General features: G+C 40.4%; 1 protein-coding gene and 1 long non-coding RNA gene across 8 annotated transcripts in view; one reads left to right on the plus strand and one right to left on the minus strand.

Moving 5' to 3' along the window:
* The window catches only part of MYRIP (myosin VIIA and Rab interacting protein), a 451,408-nt gene extending 438,650 nt beyond the window's left edge, over positions 1–12,758 (plus strand). For all 7 annotated transcript variants that reach the window (NR_104316.2, NM_001284423.2, NM_015460.4 and 4 more), the window contains 4 exons: positions 2,659–2,763; positions 2,876–2,936; positions 4,318–4,436; positions 10,571–12,758. Coding sequence is in view for 6 of the 7 variants with exons in the window: in NM_001284423.2 (NP_001271352.1) it covers positions 2,659–2,763; positions 2,876–2,936; positions 4,318–4,436; positions 10,571–10,603 (318 nt within the window). In the remaining variant the exon portion in view is untranslated. The remainder of the gene's footprint in view (positions 1–2,658; positions 2,764–2,875; positions 2,937–4,317; positions 4,437–10,570) is intronic.
* The window catches only part of EIF1B-AS1 (EIF1B antisense RNA 1), a 136,554-nt gene that overhangs the window by 74,419 nt on the left and 41,538 nt on the right, over positions 1–20,597 (minus strand). The gene's annotated exons all lie outside the window — the stretch shown is intronic.

The following is a 20,597-nucleotide window of genomic DNA, read 5'->3' on the forward strand; positions in this document are numbered from 1 at the left end:
CCCAGGCTGGGATGCAATGGCACAATCTTGGCTCACTGCAACCTCCGCCTCCTGGGTTCAAGTGATTCTCTTGCCTCAGCCTCCCGAGTAGCTGGGATTACAGGCACGCACCACCACGTCCAGCTAATTTTTGTATTTTTAGTAGAGAGAGGGTTTCATCATATTGGTCAGGCTGGTCTCAAACTCCTGACCTCAAGTAATCCACCAGCCTTGGCCTCCCAAAGTGCTGGGATTACAGGCATGATCCAGCGCCAAACAGCTCACATTCTTAACCAGTCTGTGCTGTGTGGTTTCCTGGGAAATGTGTTGGTCCTGCCCTCAGGCATACACGCACTTGCCTAGGTGTCCTTAACTTGCATGGCATGGGAGGTTGTTGACCCTGCCTTCAGCTTTGTGGATTATCTCAACTGCACCGCCAGGCATGCGGAAATTCTCCCCACCAGGCTAACTGGTGCCAGAGAATGAAGCCTCCAACTCCCTGTTGTCTGTTCTCACCCAAAGTCTAGTTTCACAGAGGATTTCTTGCAGGATGGTAGGAGGGTCCCCATTGAGGGGGGCACATATGCTAAATTGTGTTCTTGGTAATATTAGGACAGAGTCTAAGGATGCTATCAACTTACTTAGAGTCTACTTTTGAGACAGAGTGCCGTTATCCAGTGCTGAAAGAGACTGCAGAATGACCCTTGTGGAGCATGCTAAGGGTGCTGTCCACTGCATCATGCAAGTTGTCTCTATGAGAGTTCCTGGAGAAAGCTTCTCTTAACTCCTAGTATCAGGAAAAGCTGTTCTTCTGAGTACTTGGTCTTCGATCTTGTGGACATGGAGCTCTTGGCTTTGGCTCCCAGGAAACTCAGAGCTGAATTGGTCATCCCCTTCTAGCAAATGTATAGCTCCTTGGACATGCAGTTCTAGAAGTGGGACATAATTATATAGAGAGAGAAGATACAGGCAAAATCAGCCCTCAGTAGCCTCCTCTTTCTTTGTCCTTTGTCCTATGGACTGAAACCTGAAAAATTAGCCCTTTCTTATTCCAGAACCTGATAGTCCACAAATGAAGAGGTCAGCAGCTTGCTTTCCCATTGACCTTGTCTTTCCCAGGGCCCTCTGAGCAAGGCCCTCCATCAAAACTGCTTCCAGGGAAGAATGTGAGCATCTAATCCACACCAGTTGCTTATGACTGGTAAAAGCTTAGCCTGCAACTTTTCTCAGAGGCTTGTGTAATTTGTTGGTTCATAAACCAAAAGAATGCAGTTCTTAATGTGAAATTTGAAGATTAAGAACAGAAAGGCATCTGGGGACCAGGAAGGGAAGGACTCAAGTGGTGCCTTCTGGGGCTGGCTACTGGGTAGCTTGTAATTCTCTTACCAGCTGCCACAGACTTGGCCTTCACCTACCTCCTCCTCCTTTTCTGACCATGACTGCCACCCCTCAGGGGTAGGGGATGCATCTTCCAAATTTGCTGACCCTTCAATCTTTCTGTGTACCTCCTATAGCTCCTATCACAGTAGACTTTGTTCAAAGAAGCCCTCAGTAAATGACAGCAGAATTCAAATTTGTCTTGAGTAGCACAGAATTGTGGAGGGCTGAGAGGCAATGGAGACCTCATGTGTGGAGCACACACACACATTGGCTAGGGTCTACCATCAGCTTATTGTCTGATTCCCTAACAACACTCAGAATGTACCATCTCAGCAGAATCTTGACCTCTTCCCTTGACTCTGCTAGCCTTTCCCTGCCTTTTCCAGCGTCCCCCATACCGGGTGTTGGCACATCCTCTCAGACTGTGGCAATGTGACGAGAGCATGGCCACTGACATGAATTCCATGCACTGCCCAGATTGGCTGTGAGATGATGGGTGTATCACTTGTCCCTTTGAGCCAGTTTCCTTATCTGTGAAACCAAGATAATGGTACTTACTTCATAGAATTATTTAAAACACTTAGCATGGTTCCTGGCACATAATAATGCCCTTTTCTAAGAGCAGGGACAATATCTTCATTTCTGGAGACAGGGGAGGACCAGGGTTCTCTCTGGGCACTAAGTGGGTTCTTACTTTCCATTTCTGCATTCAGACTCTGCTGAAAGAAAATCTGAGCTCTCTCTTGACCTTCCCATGTTACAAATTAGGAAAATGATGCCCAGAGAGGGGAGAGAGTTTCTCAAGGCTGGTTGGCTTCTTAATGGAGGAGATGGACTTGAACCAGGGACCGCTAGGCCTCCCTTCTAAAACCTGGTGCTGTGGTTTTGGATTCATGAAGTTATGGAAGAAGAAAGCAGGACATATAAATGACTATAACAGGACATATAAATCCTATGACTTCCCTGACCACTTCTCACCCCCATGCTGAGCCAGGTGGCCCCGGGCCAGGGTCCCCATCGTGTCCCCAGGCTTTCATTTATCCCCAGGCATACTCTGACAGGATTGTTGACATGCTCTAGAGCTAACAAACTAGAAATTTAAACTTATAAAGAAAGGCCTGTGTTTTATTTTCTTGCTACACACTAGATAGAGGAGTGTTTGGTAGAAGTTGAATGAATGAATGAATGAATGAGCATACATCAAAGCAGATTTGTCTTTATAAATTCTTAACACTTTTAAGAAATATTTTCCCCTTCCGTATTTTCTCCCTGCCAATCTTGTCTTTCTGTTGCTTTAAGATTTCAGATATTGAGAGCCGGATTTCAGCCCTGACCATTGCAGGATTAAACATAGCACCATGTGTGCGCTTCACAAGAAGACGGGATCAGAAGCAAAGGACCCAGGTGTGTTTGTCCCTTTCTCCCTCTGTTGGAATGTTACATGGCTTGGAAAATTTAGAAGACAAAATATCTTTGGCTCTGCAAAGGTATATTGCTCATTGTGTTCTGTTTGTAGGTACAAACCATAGATACATCAAGGCAGCAAAGGAGGAAACTGCCTGCTCCACCGGTGAAAGGTATGCTAAATTAAAACCACAAAGCTACCAAAAAATTAAGCCTGAATCATTTACTTTGGGTAACAAAGAGACCTGAGTTTGAGAATTAGATCTAATGGAGTGTTCTCACACAGAATTGCTCTTGTCTATCTTGATTTGGGTCCCCCCAGAAGCAAACCCTGGGACAAGGATAGGAGTGAAAGTAGCTTGTTTGGAAGGTGCACTGCTAGAGAAGAAGATAAATGATTCAGAGAAAGAAATTAAGTCAGTCAATACAGGGTACTTGAATTAGGAGTTATTTCTTTGGGCAAATAAAGCTAAGTCCTCCTGGTGACCTCTGGGAGACAATGTTGGCTGCACCTCAGAGTTTTCTGCCCAAAGGGCAGGGAGATGGGATATTTGTTCTAAAACTCCCATCCATCTCTGGCTGAGAGTTACTTCTAGAGGTATTAACTCCCTGGTACTTCTGACCTGCCCCATGCATGAGCCAAGACAGAGTGGTGGTACTTGCTGTAGGATCTGTTGGAATATGCTGGAATGGTGACTGTCAAAGAGAAGTGAACAGAACACCAAAAGTATCTGCCACAGTGTCCAATCTAGAAATGATCTGGCAATGCCAGTCATGTCGCCTTTATCTAATGGACATTTTCAACAAATGCCCCAGGTTCAGAAGCCACAAAAGGGTGATACCAAACTAGAAATTTAGATTTACAAATTAGAGGAGGAGAAAGTCCAAAAATGTGCATTTGGGCCTTGGTTCTGCTATTGATCATTTAACAAACATTTATTGAATGTTTATAATCTACAAAACTGTATGCAGTTAAAATTTATCACAGATTCACAGTCCTTTATTTGAAACCCTTGGGTCCCTATGTGCTTCATAATTTCTTGGGCATTAGAAAGGTAATATAGTACACGTGCTGTATATTTCTTTACACCCCCCATGGCATCTAGGCAGCATCTGAAAATCAAACAAACACATGAATATCCTTACAGCAGAGCACAAAAACATTTGCACTCCATGAGATGGACAAGGACATTAAATGGCCTCATGTCAGTTCAGGTCAGGTTTTATAATCAGATTCTTTTGGCTCCAAAGTTGTAAAAATTTGCAAGTTTTAGAACCTTTTCTATTTCAGGACTGCACATAAGTATTTATGAACTGTACTGGGTTATCTCTGAGCTATCGTTCCACAGAAAGCTATCAATGATGCCCTGACTTATTTGTCCATCATAAAAATAAACACAAAACAAAAAGATCCCATAGTCAATCAAACACAGTACAGGAATGAGATTCCAAGTCTAGAACAAAAGTCTGAGTAATCTGGCCACCTTGTTTTTTCCTTAACAATCAATCAGTCCATCTTCTGGGTAACATTTTTTCCCATTTATTTCCTTTTAGCTGAAAAAATTGAGACATCTTCAGTGACTACCATTAAAACATTTAACCACAACTTCATTCTCCAAGGCTCCTCAACAAACAGGACTAAGGAAAGGAAAGGCACCACCAAGGATTTGATGGTAAATGTCATCTCTGTCTTAATGTTCAACGCTTTCACTGTTGATGGTACCTCCACTCTGCAGCCTTTCCTTCTGTAGCTCCCGCATCAGAACCCCCAAAAAGTATCCTTCCTCCGTGGTCTTATGGTCTGTTGGATTTGACTGGGGGGTGGACTTAGCAGTAAACCAAGAGCAGAGTGCTTGGTTGAATAAGGCCATGAAGCACACACACACCGCCGGTCACCCTCCTCAACTGTTACTCTAGAAATCACTATTACTAATAACTTTCTACGCAAGTATAGAGGAAATAAGTCGTAACATGGTAAGTGTACTGGAAATTGCACTTGGACATACCAAAATGTAGCTTAACCCAAAGCATCCGGCTTACACCCAGAAGATTTCATCATGACCTAATCACTTTGAGCCAACTCTGGCCCCAAACCTTGCTAAAAATATTATCAACTATCTTAAACCATTTACCTTAGACAAAAGTATAGGCGATAGAAATTTTTACCCTGGCACAATAGACATAGCACCGTAAGGGAAAGATGAAAGAACTGTATCAAGCACTAAAAAGCAAAGACAAGCCCTTATACCTTCTGCATAATGTATTAACTAGAAATAACTATACACAGAGAACTTTAGCCAAGTCCCCCGAAACCAGATGAACTACCCAAGAACAGCTGAAAGAGCACACTCACCTATGTGGCAAAATAGTGGGAAGATGCATGAGTAGCGGTCACAAGCCTACCAAGCCTGTTGATAGCTGGTTGTCCAAGATAGAATCTTAGTTCAGCTTTAAACTTACCCACAGAATTACTTAATCTCCCTGTAAGTTTAACTGTTAGTCTAAAGAGGGACAGCTCTTTAGACCCTAGGAAACAACCTTCCTACAGAGAGTAAAAAATATTACCACCATAGTTGGCCCAAAAGCAGCCACCGATTAAGAAAGCGTTTAAGCTCAACAGCTAACTATCTTAAATTCTAATCAGTCTACTGAACTCCTAACATCACATTGGACTAATCTATTACTTAATAGAAGCAATAATGTTAATGTAAGTAACATGAAGACATTCTCCATTGCATAAGCTTACATCAGACCAGAATAACCCACTGACAGTTAACAGCCTAATATTAATAACCAATATAATAAGCACCCTATTATTTACACTGTTAACCCAACACAGGTATGCTCTAAGGAGAGATTACAAAAAGTAAAAGGAATTCAGCAAATCTTACCCCGCTTGTTTACCAAAAACATCACCTCTAGCATTACCAGTATTAGAGTCACTGCCTGCCCAGTGACATATGTTCAACAGCCGCGGTATCCTGACCGTGCAAAGGTAGCATAATCACTTGTTCCCTAAATAGGGACTTGTATGAATGGCCATATGAAGGTTCAGCTGTCTCTTACTTTTAATCAGTGAAATTGACCTATTCGTGAAGAGGCGGATATAAACAAATAAGACGAGAAAACCCTATGGAGCTTTAATTCATTAATGCAAATAAAAACTCAAACAAGCCTACAGGCCCTAGCCTACTATTCCTGCATTAAAAAATTTGGTAGGGGTGAACTTGGAGCATAATTCAACCTCCAAACAACCTAAACTAAGATCGCACTAGTCTTAGTGAGTTAATACACATTGACCCAATAATTTGATCAACGGAATAAGTTACCTTAGGGATAGCAGCGCAATCCCATTCTAGAATCAGTATTGACAATAGAGTTTACAACCTCGATGTTGGATCAGGACATCCTAACAGTGTAGCCGCTATTAAGGGTTCGTTTAGCAGTAGGGACGGGGGTTCTACAACTAAGTGAGTAACATCCTACCTGCTATATACCTCTTTAATATGTGGGTATATCCTCTCAACTGTATCTCTAGCTCCTTGGAGGAAGCAGGTTTGATATAAGAGAAATGAAAATATGTAAATGGAAGATTAAGGTCTGGTTGAGGTGTAACAATTTTTATTCTGTTTTCAGTCCATATTCACTCTTCCTTAAATTTTTCATTAGCCATTAATGCTGTGTTCCTGAAAAAAGTCAGCAGCTACTCCTAAATGTAGCAAAGGAAGAGACAGTAAATAATTTGCATGAACTCTAGAAATTATACAGAAAGGACTGTTGGCTCTTTTGCTTAAAAACTGTCAATCGAGAAAAATAACGAGACAAGTCCCTATCATTTTATGAGGTTTATTTGCCAAAGTTAAGGATGTGCACACAGGAGACAGGTCTATGCCTTTCTCCGAAGGTGATTTTGAGGGCTCCAAATTTAAAAGGGAAAGGGCAGGCTATTGAGAAGTACACAATTTTCATGTAAGAGGAGGGTAGGGAAAAATAGTCATTCATGCCTTTGTCTGGCTCAGTGAATCTGCATTTTTTTTTACATCAGGTGACACAGACAAATGGGGCAGAGGAATAATGCAGGGAATCTGCATTTTTACAGCAGATAATATAGAAAGAGTGGGGCAGGAGAACAATCAGATATTCATTTGTGTCTGGGGGGGGTGGGGGCGGGGTGACTGCACCTGTAAAGATAAGCTATCAATTTGCATTGCTATGGTGAAATTTTAACAGAAACACCTTAGGGTACAGATCTTGGAGCTCACTAGGAATTTCCATGTGGGCAAAATATGGGGGAGGCATATAGCTTTTCATCTTGTAGCCATCTTATTTAGGAACTGAAAGGAGAGGCAGGCTTGCATGACCCAGTTCTCAGCTTGACTTTTCCCTTTAGCTTAGCAATTTGGGAACCCCCCCAGATTTATTTTCCTTTCACAAAACCAACATACATGTCAAAATTTTGGCAAATGCTTGATGCTGCTTACATAGAAAATTATCATCTAACTAAGCTGCCTCAGTGATACCAGTTAAGCGGAGGGCAGATCATGTCTGAGATGACAAGACTAAAACAAGGACAAATTTATTTTGTTACCTTTTATCCTTCACCCATTCCTCCCTTCCTCTTCCTCCCTATCATTGTCCCTGTCTCATGAGGATAGAAGCACCACGTAATGGCATAATGGTGGATACATCCTTTTGAAATAAAAGTTACTCTCAGGCATTACATGGCAATAGCTCTACTCACTGCCTTCTCTTCATTGGTCAGCCATTAACCCTGACCTTTTAAAGTCTAATTCCCTTGCTTCTGACCATTAGTTCACAGAGCGGAAAAAGATGCATTATCACACTAAAAGGGCAGACCACTAGTGTCAGGGAAGGAATTGGTTACAAATAAGAAAGTTAAAAATAAATTGTCTTTCATAGAGACAGGACATGAATTGGTGGCTGCCAGAGGTTGTGGGAAGGGGGAACAGGAAGAAACTCCTTAATGAGTAAGGGGTTTTACTTTACAGTGACAGAAATTTATTGAAACTAGATAAAGGTGGTAGTTGTACAACCTCGTGAACATACTAAGTGCCACCAAATTGTTCACTTTAGAATGGTTTATTTTATGTTATGTGGCTTTCACCTCAATATGTTTTTTAAATAAAATAAAAATAAATTACCTTAAAGTAACACAGAAAGGTTAAAAACGAAAGAACAGACAATATTTACTAAACAAATAAAAGCAAAATAGGGCAGAAATAATTACTTTCAAAGAAAGGAGAATTCCAGATAAAAAGCATTGAGAGAAAACAAGGAGGAAAGATGTTTAAATTTTGATAAAATAAAGTAGTTAAGTCATGAGCCTTTCTTGATTGATTTGGCAGATAGTAGAGCAACACAATTTATGGTGCAACGGTTGGTGACTTTAAAACTCCCTTATCAGCCTTTGACAGCCCAAATAACCCATAAATAAATACAAATTAGAGAATAGTGTAACTGTTAAGCTTTAATTAAGATGTTTATCTAACTATGCTTTATAGATCATTCACTGTCTTTCCAGGCATCAATGGACCATTTATAAAAATTGACTTTATACCAAATCACAAAGAATACCTCAATAAATTCCAAAAAGTAAACAAACCCTCTATGATAACAATGCCAAACATAATCTAGGGCAGTGCTGTCTAATAGAACTTTGTGTAATGAGGGTAATGGTCTATATCTGCAGTGACCAGTACAGTGGCCACTAGCCACGTGTGGCTACTGAGCACTTGAAATGTGGCTACTGCATTGAGGGAACTGATTTTTAAATTTTAGTTAATCTGAATGTAAATAGCCACATGTAGCTAGTGGCCACCATGTTGGACAGGGCCAATCTAGAAAATCAGAACAAAAGTTAAAAAACAGAAACCCTACTTAGAAGTTAAAAAGCACTTGTACTCATATACACAACTGTCCATACACATACACATGCAACACACACACTTCAAAATAACTACTGAATTAGAAAAATCCACAGGGCACTTACTTACAAAATGAAAACATTACATATATCAAAGCAAATAGGATACATATAAAACTACACTGCGTCAAATTTATAATATTAAATATTTTGTTCCTTGTTAAAGAAAATTCCCGACATCAAAAATAAACCCAAAAAACATTTAATTAAGACCAGAAATTATAGAAATGATCTCTCTACATCTACATCTAGAAGTTATTTGAAAAAAAAAATATTTTGTAAGTCACATAAAAAAACTGCAAACTAGATTATATAAAAGGATGTCAATTTTTTATATATACAATGTGATGTAAAACTATTCTGATAAATTTAGAATCAATACTAGTCAAATCAGAATCAAATCAGAAAAATAGCAAAAACTAACTTAAGAAATAAAAAGAAACTTAAAATTTATTAAACCTTTCAAAAACATTCTGTGGCCAAATGATTTTGCTGATTTTTTTTTTAAGGAACAATTCCCATACCATATAAAATATTCCAGGTCATCAAAATATTGAAAACTAAAAGATTCATGTTGTGAAGCTATCATAACCTCAATCATGAAAGCCTGCTCCGTGGCTGGTAAGCATGTATACATGTTCTGTGCCCATCACACACAGGCACATACAGACACACAAAAATCGTTACACCAGTTGTACTTCTTCAGAGATGAAGAATATGAAATAAAATATTAGCCAATTAAAGAGAAGTGCATTCAGTAATAAATTACAGTAGGCCAAGCAAGGTGGCTCACACCTATAATTCCAGCACTTTGGGAGACCAAAGTGGGAGGATCACTTGAGGCCAGGAGTTCAAGACCAGCCTGGGCAACATAGTGAGACCTGTCTTTACAAAAAATAAAAAGTTAGCCAGTCATGGTGGCATATGCCTGTAGTCCCAGCTACTGGAGAGGCTAAGGCGGGGATCCCCTGAGCCCAGAAGTTTGAGGTTGCAGTGAGCTATGATTGCACCACTGCACTCCAGCCTGAGCAACAGAGTGAGACCCTGTCTCTAAGAATGAATGAAAAAATAACAGGTAGGTTTTGTGGGAATGCAAGGATAGCTTAAATACTGTGATATCAATCCCATTTATGCTGGAGATTGCAGTTTTTTGAATTTTTGCATGAGTGAAAAATCAGACCTTGGTGATGACCTTGAGCAGTAGGATATAAATAACTCTCATATGCTTAGCATTCCAATAATGGAACACTAGGCATAAGTGGATTTTAATAAATCACATCAACAGTTCAATAAGAAAAGTCATTTCTTCCCAAATTAATTTGTAGCTTAATCCAATTTTCATAAAAAACTCGGTGAAATTTTCCTTGAATTAAAGTTCATATAATAATAAATCAGAAAGAATAGACAAAAGCACTTTGCAAAATTACAAAGATTTTCCTCCCAGATTTTAAGACAAATTAAAAGCTGAAATGAAACTGATCATTAATGAAATAAATAGCCCAGAAATAGATACAACCACATATGAGAATGTGTTATATTATCTTTATAAAAGATTTAGAAACTAGTAAAGAAGGTATGGATTATTAAACAAGAACACTGTGCTTGGAATACTGGACATTGGGATGGTAGTGGGAAAGAAGGCACATTTGATCATTACCTTATTCCAAATACCAAAATTAATTTCAGGTGGATTAAGAAGCATGCATTTAAAAATGACATCAGTTTCTAAATGTTGTGAAACATCTAACTGGTCAAAAAGCATGAATAGCTTTTGATATTAAAAAGCAGTAAACATTATTTTTCATTGCTTCTTCTCACTCTTCCCAAGTGGCTGATGGGAGTGTGTTCAATGTCTCACCTCAGGAGCCTGCTCTGGAGTCAGCTGTGATGTACTGACACCATGGAATTCCACTGCCAGTGACCCACTGCCTCCGGCCGTACACGACAGTGCCTTGACCCAACAGCCATCGAGTACTGTATGTATTTCCACCTGAGGAGAAGGCCTGGGGAGGCCACAGTGCACCATTGCACAGGGCTGTCCTGATACCTCATCCAGAAAGCCGTCTCAGACTTCAGCACTGCGGTCTTGCCCACTCTCTGCCTTAGGCTCCCAGGGGAATCCAAGACAGAAAATGAAGACACTGGCTTCCAACAGCAGCGCTCCATGTTTAAGATACATATTTTCCCTGTTTGCTTTGCTACTGTATGTTGACTTTAAGATCTTTTTTTAAATACATTTGATTCAGCTAGTATTCCATGTCAACAATTTGTCCAAAGGAAAACTGCTGGAGGGAGGTGGAGGGAGGAAGGTGGGAATTATTATTTAATACATCATTAATGCTTATTAATCTCTCACAAGCATCTTTGTCTTGCAAATCCTAAGGGAAAAGCAAGTCCCTGCAGTGAGCACTAGGGACAGTCTAATTTGGGGATTGCTCAACCATCAAGACTGCAGGTCTCCCTTCAGCCACCTCCTTCCTGCTAAAAGCTTAGCCTACCACACTACCAGTCATTCCCATCGCTTTGCAATCACAAGCCACAGGATGAGAAGTTCTGACTCACTCATGCCATGCCCAGGGCTATCTGAAACAATGTCTCATTAAGAATTTAGGGTTCTTCCATGGGCTTACTGACAGTTGCCCAGATCTGAAGGGGAAAGGGTCTTGAGAAAGACCATCACTGGCTCAACTTTAGGGCACTGTCCAGAGTCAACATGATGTGGTTTAGCAGTGATCACATCTAAACAAAGTTTAGGTAAATGAATTATCGCAGAGAAAAACCACATGAGAAAATTTTTGTACTCCAAATTTACTTCCCAATAAATATTCAGCAAAGTAGTAAAATGACCTTAAAGATAAAAATGATTAGGGAATAGCCTTAGAAAATTTATAGGTATAAAAAATTCAAGGACAAACTGTGCATTTAATGGACACAAGAATTGACTCTAACTCCATGTCTGTGGTTTCTTTGAACCCATATCAAATGTATGACTATTTAGAGTGTTTATAAGAGATAATGGAACTGAACTTTCACTCAATTAATTGGGCATTAACAACCTTCTTTTATGTTTGTTCCTGATATAGTCTGAATCTTAGGAAGAAGGTAAAAGAAAGGAGGCAAGAGAATAGTTATGATGAATATGTGTTAAGTGCCTGCTCTGAAGGAGGCAATGTTCTTCTCATTTGAATCCTTATGGCAACCTTATTCAATAGGTTTTCCCATATTTCAGATTTAATAACTGAAGGCCAGAGAGATTAATTTGCCAAAGCCACACCTTTATGCTAATTATGATTGGAATGCATCACAAAAGCCTAACTCTGTTGTTTTCAACCTCTACGTTATTTTGCTGCTATGTGCATTTCCAGATCTGATTTTCTGCTAACTTGTGTGCTATGATCCACTCCTGATGGGGGTCTACATTAATCTTCCAGTACTCCTTGCTGATGCTGTGTTATGTGTCATCTAACAGAAATGACTCCTTTGAAATAAGTAAATCTTTGGCTTTTTGTTCTGTTGGTGTGATTCAAAGCAAAACAAACAAACAAAAACAAATTTTAAGAACACAACAAAAAAGATTTGACTTCCGAATAGAATGTTTTCTTTAAGAGGCATGAAAAGCAACTATTGTTGTGTTACAGTGTTAAAAATATTCAGTTTTCTTTGACAAAAATGTGTACTGTGTAAGCCTTGCAAACAAAAAACAACAAAAAAGAAGCAGCAGCAGCAGCCTGCTGTGTGGCATCTGAACTTTTATAAAGGTTTCCTTGTGCCAAATAAGTGCAAAGATTTAATTTACTATTAAAAACCATAAGCATATGTTATAGTTCCAGAAGAATTATTTTGTCATCAAGTGATTTTGATCTTTAGTGTCAATATTTATATTTAGATTAATTTTTATAAATGAAAATATTTTAATGGTTTAAGAAAATGAGGACAACAGGATAATATCTTTGATGACTTCTGAAAGTTATGCTTCCCTTCATGTTATATGCACATTGCCAAGAATTACTGTCAAGAGAAATGATAAGTAAAAGTCATTTATGAAAATAAAGATTGTGTGTGTGCAATTTTTTGGTTAAGGGAGACTAGGAGTGAGTAGGGGATAGGGAAAGAAGTCATGTGGCTAGTAACTGGAGGGGCCAAGATTCAATACCTTCCTTCCAGTTATACTGCTCTCCCCTCCATTGCAAGTTGTCCAGACAACAGAATTTCCCAGTGACTACCTCCACTCAAGTGGTCACCCAATCAAGTGGTCACCCAAGTAAACCAGCAGTTCTCAAAGGGAGGTACAGTGTGATTTTTGCCCCTCAGGGAATATTTGACAATGTCTGGAGACATTTTTGATTGTAACAACTAAGGGTGTGCTGCCACTGGCATCTAGTGGGCAGAAAACAGGGATACTGCTAAACATCCTACAATGCATAGGACAGCCCCTGTCTTAGTCCATTTCATGTTGCTATAACAGAATAACACAGACTGGGTGGGTGATTTACAAAGAAAAAACTGTATTCCTATAGTTCTGGAAACTGGGAAGTCTAAGGTCAAAGGGCCTGCATCTAGCAAGGGCCTTCTTGCTGTGTCATCCCATGGCAGAAGGCAGAAGGGTAAGAAAGCATGCATGAGAGAGAGCAAGAGAAAGCCAAACTCACGTTTATAACAAACCCACTCTTATAATAATGAACCTACTCCTATGATAACAATGTTAATCCATTCATAAGGGCAGAACCCTCATGACCTAAACGCTCTTAAAGTTCTCACCTTTCAATACTATTGCATTGGGGATTAAGTTTCTAACACATGAACTTTGGGAGACATTCAAACCATAGCAGCCCCCTACAACGAAGATTAACCTGAAATGTCAATAGTGGTGAGGCTGAGAACCCTGAGTTAGACCCTAGTGGTAAACCTGGACATCAATGGAGAAGCCCCTGTCAACCTCCAGGGGGATTGTATAGCTGAGCAGGAAGCAGTGACTCTCTCAGTCTTTTGCAGGCTCAGTGGAGGTTGTTGCATCTTTAAGGCTGGCATGCCCAGAGCACTCAAGCCAGACACTGACCCCTGTCATCCCCAAATATGAATACGAACCTTCCACTAACCTAAAATAAATGAATATATGAAAATATTAACAGAAGCCAAGAGCCTCTGCCTGGTGGCTTTATGCAGTAAAGCCAGTATCCCAACATGAGAGTGCATCAGAATCATCTTTCCAAAGATTCTTGTTGAAGGAATCTCTGGAACAACAAACATTCCAGCTTGTTGAAAGACAAATTGCCGGGCTCCACCTCAATGTTTCGGGTTTTTGTTTTGTTTTGTTTGAGATGGTGTCTCCCTCTGTCACCCAGGCTGGAGTGCAGTGGTGCAATCTCAGCTCACTGCAACCTCTGCTTCTCAGGTTCAAGCGATTCTCCTGCCTCAGCCTCCTGAGTAGCTGGGATTATAGGCACCTACCACCACATCCGGCTGGTTTTTGTATTTTTAGTAGGGACAACATTTCACCATGTTGGCCAGGCTGGTCTTGAACTCCTGACCTCAAGCAATCTGCCTGCCTCGGCCTCCCAGAGTGCTGGGATTACAGGCATGAGCCACCGCACCCAGCCTCCACCTCAATGTTTCTCATTTACATTTCTAACAAACTTCAGGTGATATTGATGCTGCTGATCTAGGGAGCACACTTTGAGAACCTCCGACCTAGGAGCAAGGTGGAGGGCAACCAACTTGCTTTAAGAGATTCCACCTGCACCTGGGTTATCCTAGGGAAGCTAATGCTTGGAAAAGCTAGAAAGCCAGGGAGCCGGGATTTAAAGGAAGCTCCCTCAAAACTGTAAAGCCCAAACCTTTCCCCTCCACTCAAAAGTAGGGACTGTCTCTAACTGCACTGCTAGGCAAAGAGGAATCTGAGAAAGAATGTATCCTTCATGGAACAACAACCCAGCCAAACACTAGCTACTGTACTCTCCACATAATTCAAGTAATATTCCATACATTCAACTTCCAGGATAATTAGTATTTAAAGCACATAGTGAACCACAACTAGCAATGTCATGTGACACAGGTAAAGCTATTTTTTTCAAAGTATGGAGTAAGTTGAGAATATTCACTAAGGAAATCTCAGGCTGCAGACATTGCTGCTGAGCAGCAGCATGGAATGGAGGTGCAGAGCATGTGAGCAGCACTAACTCACATGCAGCTTGTCAGACAAAGACAGATGGCAGGGAAACAGATCTCCATCACAAGCACCAAGGACTGCTAGGGCACCAAAATTTGTGGTTCAAACAAGAGGCCCAGGAAAAGCTGGGAAAACAGCCCATTTGGCAACAGGGAAAGGGAGGAAGGGCAATCTCAATCATTAGATGCCTGCCATGTGCCAGGTGCTGCTGAGTCCTTATACATCAATTATATCTTTACAATCTCTGAGGAAGTTCACAGCAATCCCACTTTATACCCAAGAAAATGAGGCCCTAAATGGAATTGGTGAATAGGGCAGCATTTTCTAGAACCAAAGTTTCCCTAAACAAATAGTAAGATTGGATCATATCTGGTTGAAATGAGACTTTTCCTAACATAATTTAATATAAAGAAAATACCTGAGGTTATTAAAACAAAATAAATACAGTATTAGTGGTTGTCCACAGAAAGGAACACTGCTGGCTGGTGACATGGACTCCCTCCTTGACCAAATTATTCAGGCTTCTCTGAGTCCTCTTCTCAACTAGGCCTTGTCCTTGGCCTGCCAACACAAGTTTAGCAAGTCAGTTTAGTGAGAACCCCCACCCTTAATATCTAATCAAGTTCCTCTTAATAATTTTCTATCCACTGATTTCCTCACCAAGTCCATTGGCTAAAAATCCCCAGCTACCTTTGCTATATTCAGAGTTGACTTTGGTTATATGCTGAAGTCTCTCTTCCCTACTGCAATAGCTCAAATAAAATCTGTCTTGCCATTTTTAACAAGTATCCAGTGTAATTTCTCTTTGATAGTGGCTTGAGGTGAAAGGGAAATTTGTCACCAAAGACCTTTTTGTACCATCTACGTTTTGAGTCATAGGAACATATTGCCTATTTAAAATAAACAGGAAAAAGGGGGAAATTATTCTTGATCCTCAACAACCAACCTGTGAAGGACTGGGTAAATATATAGCAGCTTCAACCATTGAAGTATCTGTTCTTAAGGAATAAAAGATGCATTACACTGGATGAGGAAGCTACCATTTGCATAAAATACTATGCTAACCACACATCATTCTTATCTATAAAAGTAACTCTTGTGAGGCTCTCAGAAAGACAATGTGTCTGACTAGACTGACTCCTCCACCATTAATCTGAATGAAATTTGTGTGGGATTGTAGACCAAGATTTTCATACACACATCCACACACAGCCTATCGTTTGCAGCATAAAATTGAAATGCAGAGCTTCTCAGGAGAAAAACGTTTGTAAGAATGAGTTTGAATTACACCTTTGGTTTGGAATTGAACTGTTTGTTTGGCTTTCTCTCCTAAGCTGTATACTCAGAAAGGAAAACAAAAAAGTTCAATACTGCCAGGAATATTTGCTGTTTGTCACAGATGAAACCTGATAGTAAGACATTTGAGGAGGATTTTTTTTTTTTTTTTGAGACGGAGTCTCGTTCTGTCACCCAGGCTAGAGTGCAGTGGTGCCATCTGGGCTCACTGCAAGCTCTGCCCCCCGGGTTCATGCCATTCTCCTGCCTGAGCCTCCCGAGTAGCTGGGACTACAGGCGCCCGCCACTGCGCCCGGCTAATTTTTTGTATTTTTAGTAGAGACAGGGTTTCACCGTGTTAGCCAGGATGGTCTGGATCTCCTGACCTCGTGATCCGCCCACCTCAGCCTCCCAAAGTGCTGGGATTACAGGCGTAAGCCACTGCGCCAGGCCGAGGAGGAATTTTTTTAAGGAACACTATGGCCAGAAGTCAACTGGAAGCTAATATTCAGGCTATGCATACATTTTTTAAGGCCCCTCTGTTCTATTAAATCTTGCTTCTCCCATGGGAACGTCTTAGTCAACTGAAATTCCTTTTCTAAAAGCCCTGCTAACTTTATATGCTCTGCCCCTCTGTCCACTTTCTTCCTTGTTGGCATGATTTTTGACTATTTGAATATTGAGCAAATGAAAAATTGTAAAGGTCTTTTCTACAAATATTAAAGGCTTTATTCAAATTGGCTTAGAGATAAATGAGTATACCTAAAATTCCTAGAAATATAGGAACTAGTCTAAATGCTTTTCAGGTTTACATGACTTGAGTAAATCTGTAATAAGACTCGTTTAATATTGTCAGTTTAATGAGAACATTTGTGTCTTCTGAGTTGTCAACAATACTCATGTACTTAACTTTAGGGCTCTTGCATTGTCATGACTGCCTGACATGCATGTGCTGTCAAGATGGATAATAGGAAAATAACTTGAGGTGATGGCAGCTTTGTCTCATGTCTCATGTAATTTTCATGAGTGTTCCAAGCATAATTGTTAAGAATGAGTGAATTAAATAGATGTAACTGAAATAAAAGTTTATAAATGTAGTTTTAAACAATAATTATATTTTAAAATGTCTGCTTTCAAAAGTGTCCCAAATTTCTTTGGTAACCATACCCTTCGAATTTTTCTAAGTTAAAATTTAAATCTAGATCATTTCCAAGTAAGGTAAAATACTGAAACATTATTGCTTAACATAAGTTTTAAAGTATATATACTTCAGCATCTCATTTTCATGCCATATCAAAAAGCTAAACATATTTGAGTCTGTTAATATACAAAGCAGTAATCCAGATAAGCCACTTGCTCAAGGATACTTGCCTGACACCAGCTGTCTCCACCAAAAAGCTAATGCCAACTCCTGCAACAAGCCCCTATAACCAATGGTCCTTGTTTCAAAACAGCTTATGTGGGTTTCTCCTTTGTGTCTTTAAAAGCTTTCCCCTTTCCCCAAACACCTTGGATGCACTTATGATCCATCATAGCATGTATATCTTGGATTGCAATCTCCTGCTCTTCCCAAATAAACTCTCTGCTTTGGAAAGTCAGTCTCTCTATTGCTCATTTTATGCTGACAACTACCATTAGTGTGCCTGGCACAATAATGTTTGCTAAACATTAACAGCAAACAAGCTAACATTTAAATGGTCAGACACAGATCAGGAGTGGAGATTAAAGAGAACATCAGTAGACCATGTGAAATCCTCTCCAGGAAGGCAATTCCTGGCTAAAATTCCTGACTTCCTCATCTTCCCACCCACATCCCATTCCCATCAGTTGGCAAGAAATGTAAGACAGTAAAGACAGTCCAGCTACATCTGAGTTATATATATTGATCTTTCACAAAGGGTATTCTATTCACTGAAATTTTGATAAAACATTAAATTACAGGAGACATTTGGTGTATTTCTTTAAAAATAACTTCTACATGACAGCCGCTCTATTTTTCTCTGAGGGAAAATACTTCCCATACAAAATTTGCATTTTACAGAACAGTTGGCTGTGTGAGCCTTCTGTCTCGGCAATTGAGTTGTAATTATGATAAAGTACAGGTAAATGGAGTTGCATTTTAAATAGCTTTCTAAGGGCTGAAAAAACTTTAATATGCACTTCAAATATTGGAAACCTCAAAAAAGTTATAGAAGTATCCAGTTTAGTGGAACCAAGTCCTAAAATAGTTTTTAAAAAATGTTTTGTATCAAAGTTGTTATGTTTGGCAAAGATGAAAGATTTAAGGCAATGTTTCTCAAACTTTGATGTGCAAACAACTTCTGATTCAGTAGGTCTAGGGTACAGCCTAAGATGCTGCACTTCTAACAAGCTCTCAGGTGATGCCAATGCTGCTGGCCACACTTTGAGAAAGAAAGTTCAACAGAATTCCTCAAGGGGTTCTCTGAGGGATGGAGGCCCAGTTACCCACAGTGACAGCCTGTTCATTGATGCCTCTTTTGTGACTTTTCCTCCCTTCCTTCTTTCACTTCACCCGCCCTCAGTATTTTTCCTAGGAATGCCTCCCAAGTGAACAATTTGACTCAGTCTGCTTTGGGAGAAAACCCAAACTAAGACATCCCCTGCACTCCACGTGTGTGTTTGCATATCTTTCTCCTGCACTGGCCCAAGAGCTTCTTAAGGATCTGGGTTCCATTTTTCCCACACAGAGACTGCCATAGAGCAGGTGCTTGAAATGAGTTTGGTTCACCTCCAGCGGCTGTGGTGGTCCTGGCTCTAGGCTGTGGTTACCTCTGTCCATGTGACTGAACTGCATGAAGATCATGCACAGCAGGGGAGCAGTCTCTCTCATGCCCATCCTGGGATTGGGGGTGAGGATCCCACAACACTGAAATGTGTAGGGAATCACAATACCAAGATGAAGGATTAGGAGGCTCCACCAACCTCTACTTTACCTTCACTCCTCTTTTAGAGAGGGTGACATAACCCCAGGTAGTAATGAGTGGTCCAGGAACCTGCTCCCCAGAGTCTGGTACAAGCCCGTGTATTTCCAGATTCTCATGACCCATGAGGCCCAATGAGACACAGCATCAACTTTGGCTTAGTCGAGCTGTGCCATTTTAAATGCCATCTCTAGGCTCAGTGAGAGGTAACACAGAGTTCATGAATACCATTGCCTTCTCCTGTCATCATTGGCAAACCAGGGGAGAGCTTGAAGTGCTCATTTTTTTTATTGATTTCTCTGAACATAGTTCATGTATGCAGTCATGGCCCCTTTTTTCTCTGAGTGGATCCCTCCCCTTCCTCCTTTGCCAACAAAAAGCCGGAACTTGGGGAACCCAAAGGTTAGAGCAGTAGTTTTCAAAGTTGAGTCTAGACTACACATGGGGTATAGAAGATGGTCAATTAGGCCAGGTGCAGCGGCTCACGCCTATAATCCCAGCACTTTGGGAGGCTGAGGCAGGTAGATCAAGAGGTCAGGGGTTCAAGACCAGCCTGGCCAACATGGTGAAACCTCATCTCTCCTAAAAATACAAAAATTAGCTAAGGGTGGTGGTACATGCCTGTAGTCCCAGCTATTTGGGAGGCTGAGGCAGGAGAATTGCTTGAACCCAGGAGGCAGAGGTTGTTGCAGTGAGCCAAAATCACGCCACTGCACTCCAGCCTGGGCAACAAAGCAAGACTCCATCTCAAAAAAAAAAAAGAAGATGGTCAATTAGGAGCAAGTAAAAGAAAATATTAGACCTTTTATTTGTTTTAATCTGAAAGTAAGATGTATCAATATTTTAAAAAAGTGGATAGCTGATAGTAAGTACATGTAAATAATTTAAAAATAAATACATATATTTCAGGGGTACATTGTCAAACAGTTTTTACTGATGGGTTGTGTGGCTTAAAAGGTTTGAAGACCATCTACCAGTTAGAAAACATAGCAAGCTTCTGATGACTCACATTCCCCCTCCAGCTTGTCCCCATCCCTACCCCTGTAAGGGGCAGTGCTAATTCTTTAGACCTGATTCAATGTGTAAAGGGCAGATAGAAGGACAGAGGTGGGGAGGTAATCCAGAGAGTTCCTAGCCATTGGTGACCCTCATAAGAGGATTAGGTCCTGGGATGTGTTGTGCCATTCCTTTTGTGAAAACTTTCTGTCGATCTTGTTTCTTCCTTACTCTCCTCCCCAAGCCAGAGACAGAATGTCTACTTACTATCCAGCTATTTTAACTCAAGTTCTAAAGGACAACAGCTTATTACTGCCTAGCAATAAACCAATGGACTGCCTTGAGGTTTGGGCTTTTCAGTCAAGTGTCTTTATGGTTCTTTGAAATGTGCCAAAGTTAAATCTTTCTGCTAACACAGGTAAGAGCCATGTGACATTATGAGGCAAATGAATGAGGTAACATACTCCTCCTCTATCTAGCTCTGCCTATCTCCATGTTTATAGTGTTCAAA

This window comes from Homo sapiens, chromosome 3, assembly GCF_000001405.40.
Source record: "Homo sapiens chromosome 3, GRCh38.p14 Primary Assembly".
Taxonomy (NCBI): Eukaryota; Metazoa; Chordata; class Mammalia; order Primates; family Hominidae; genus Homo; species Homo sapiens.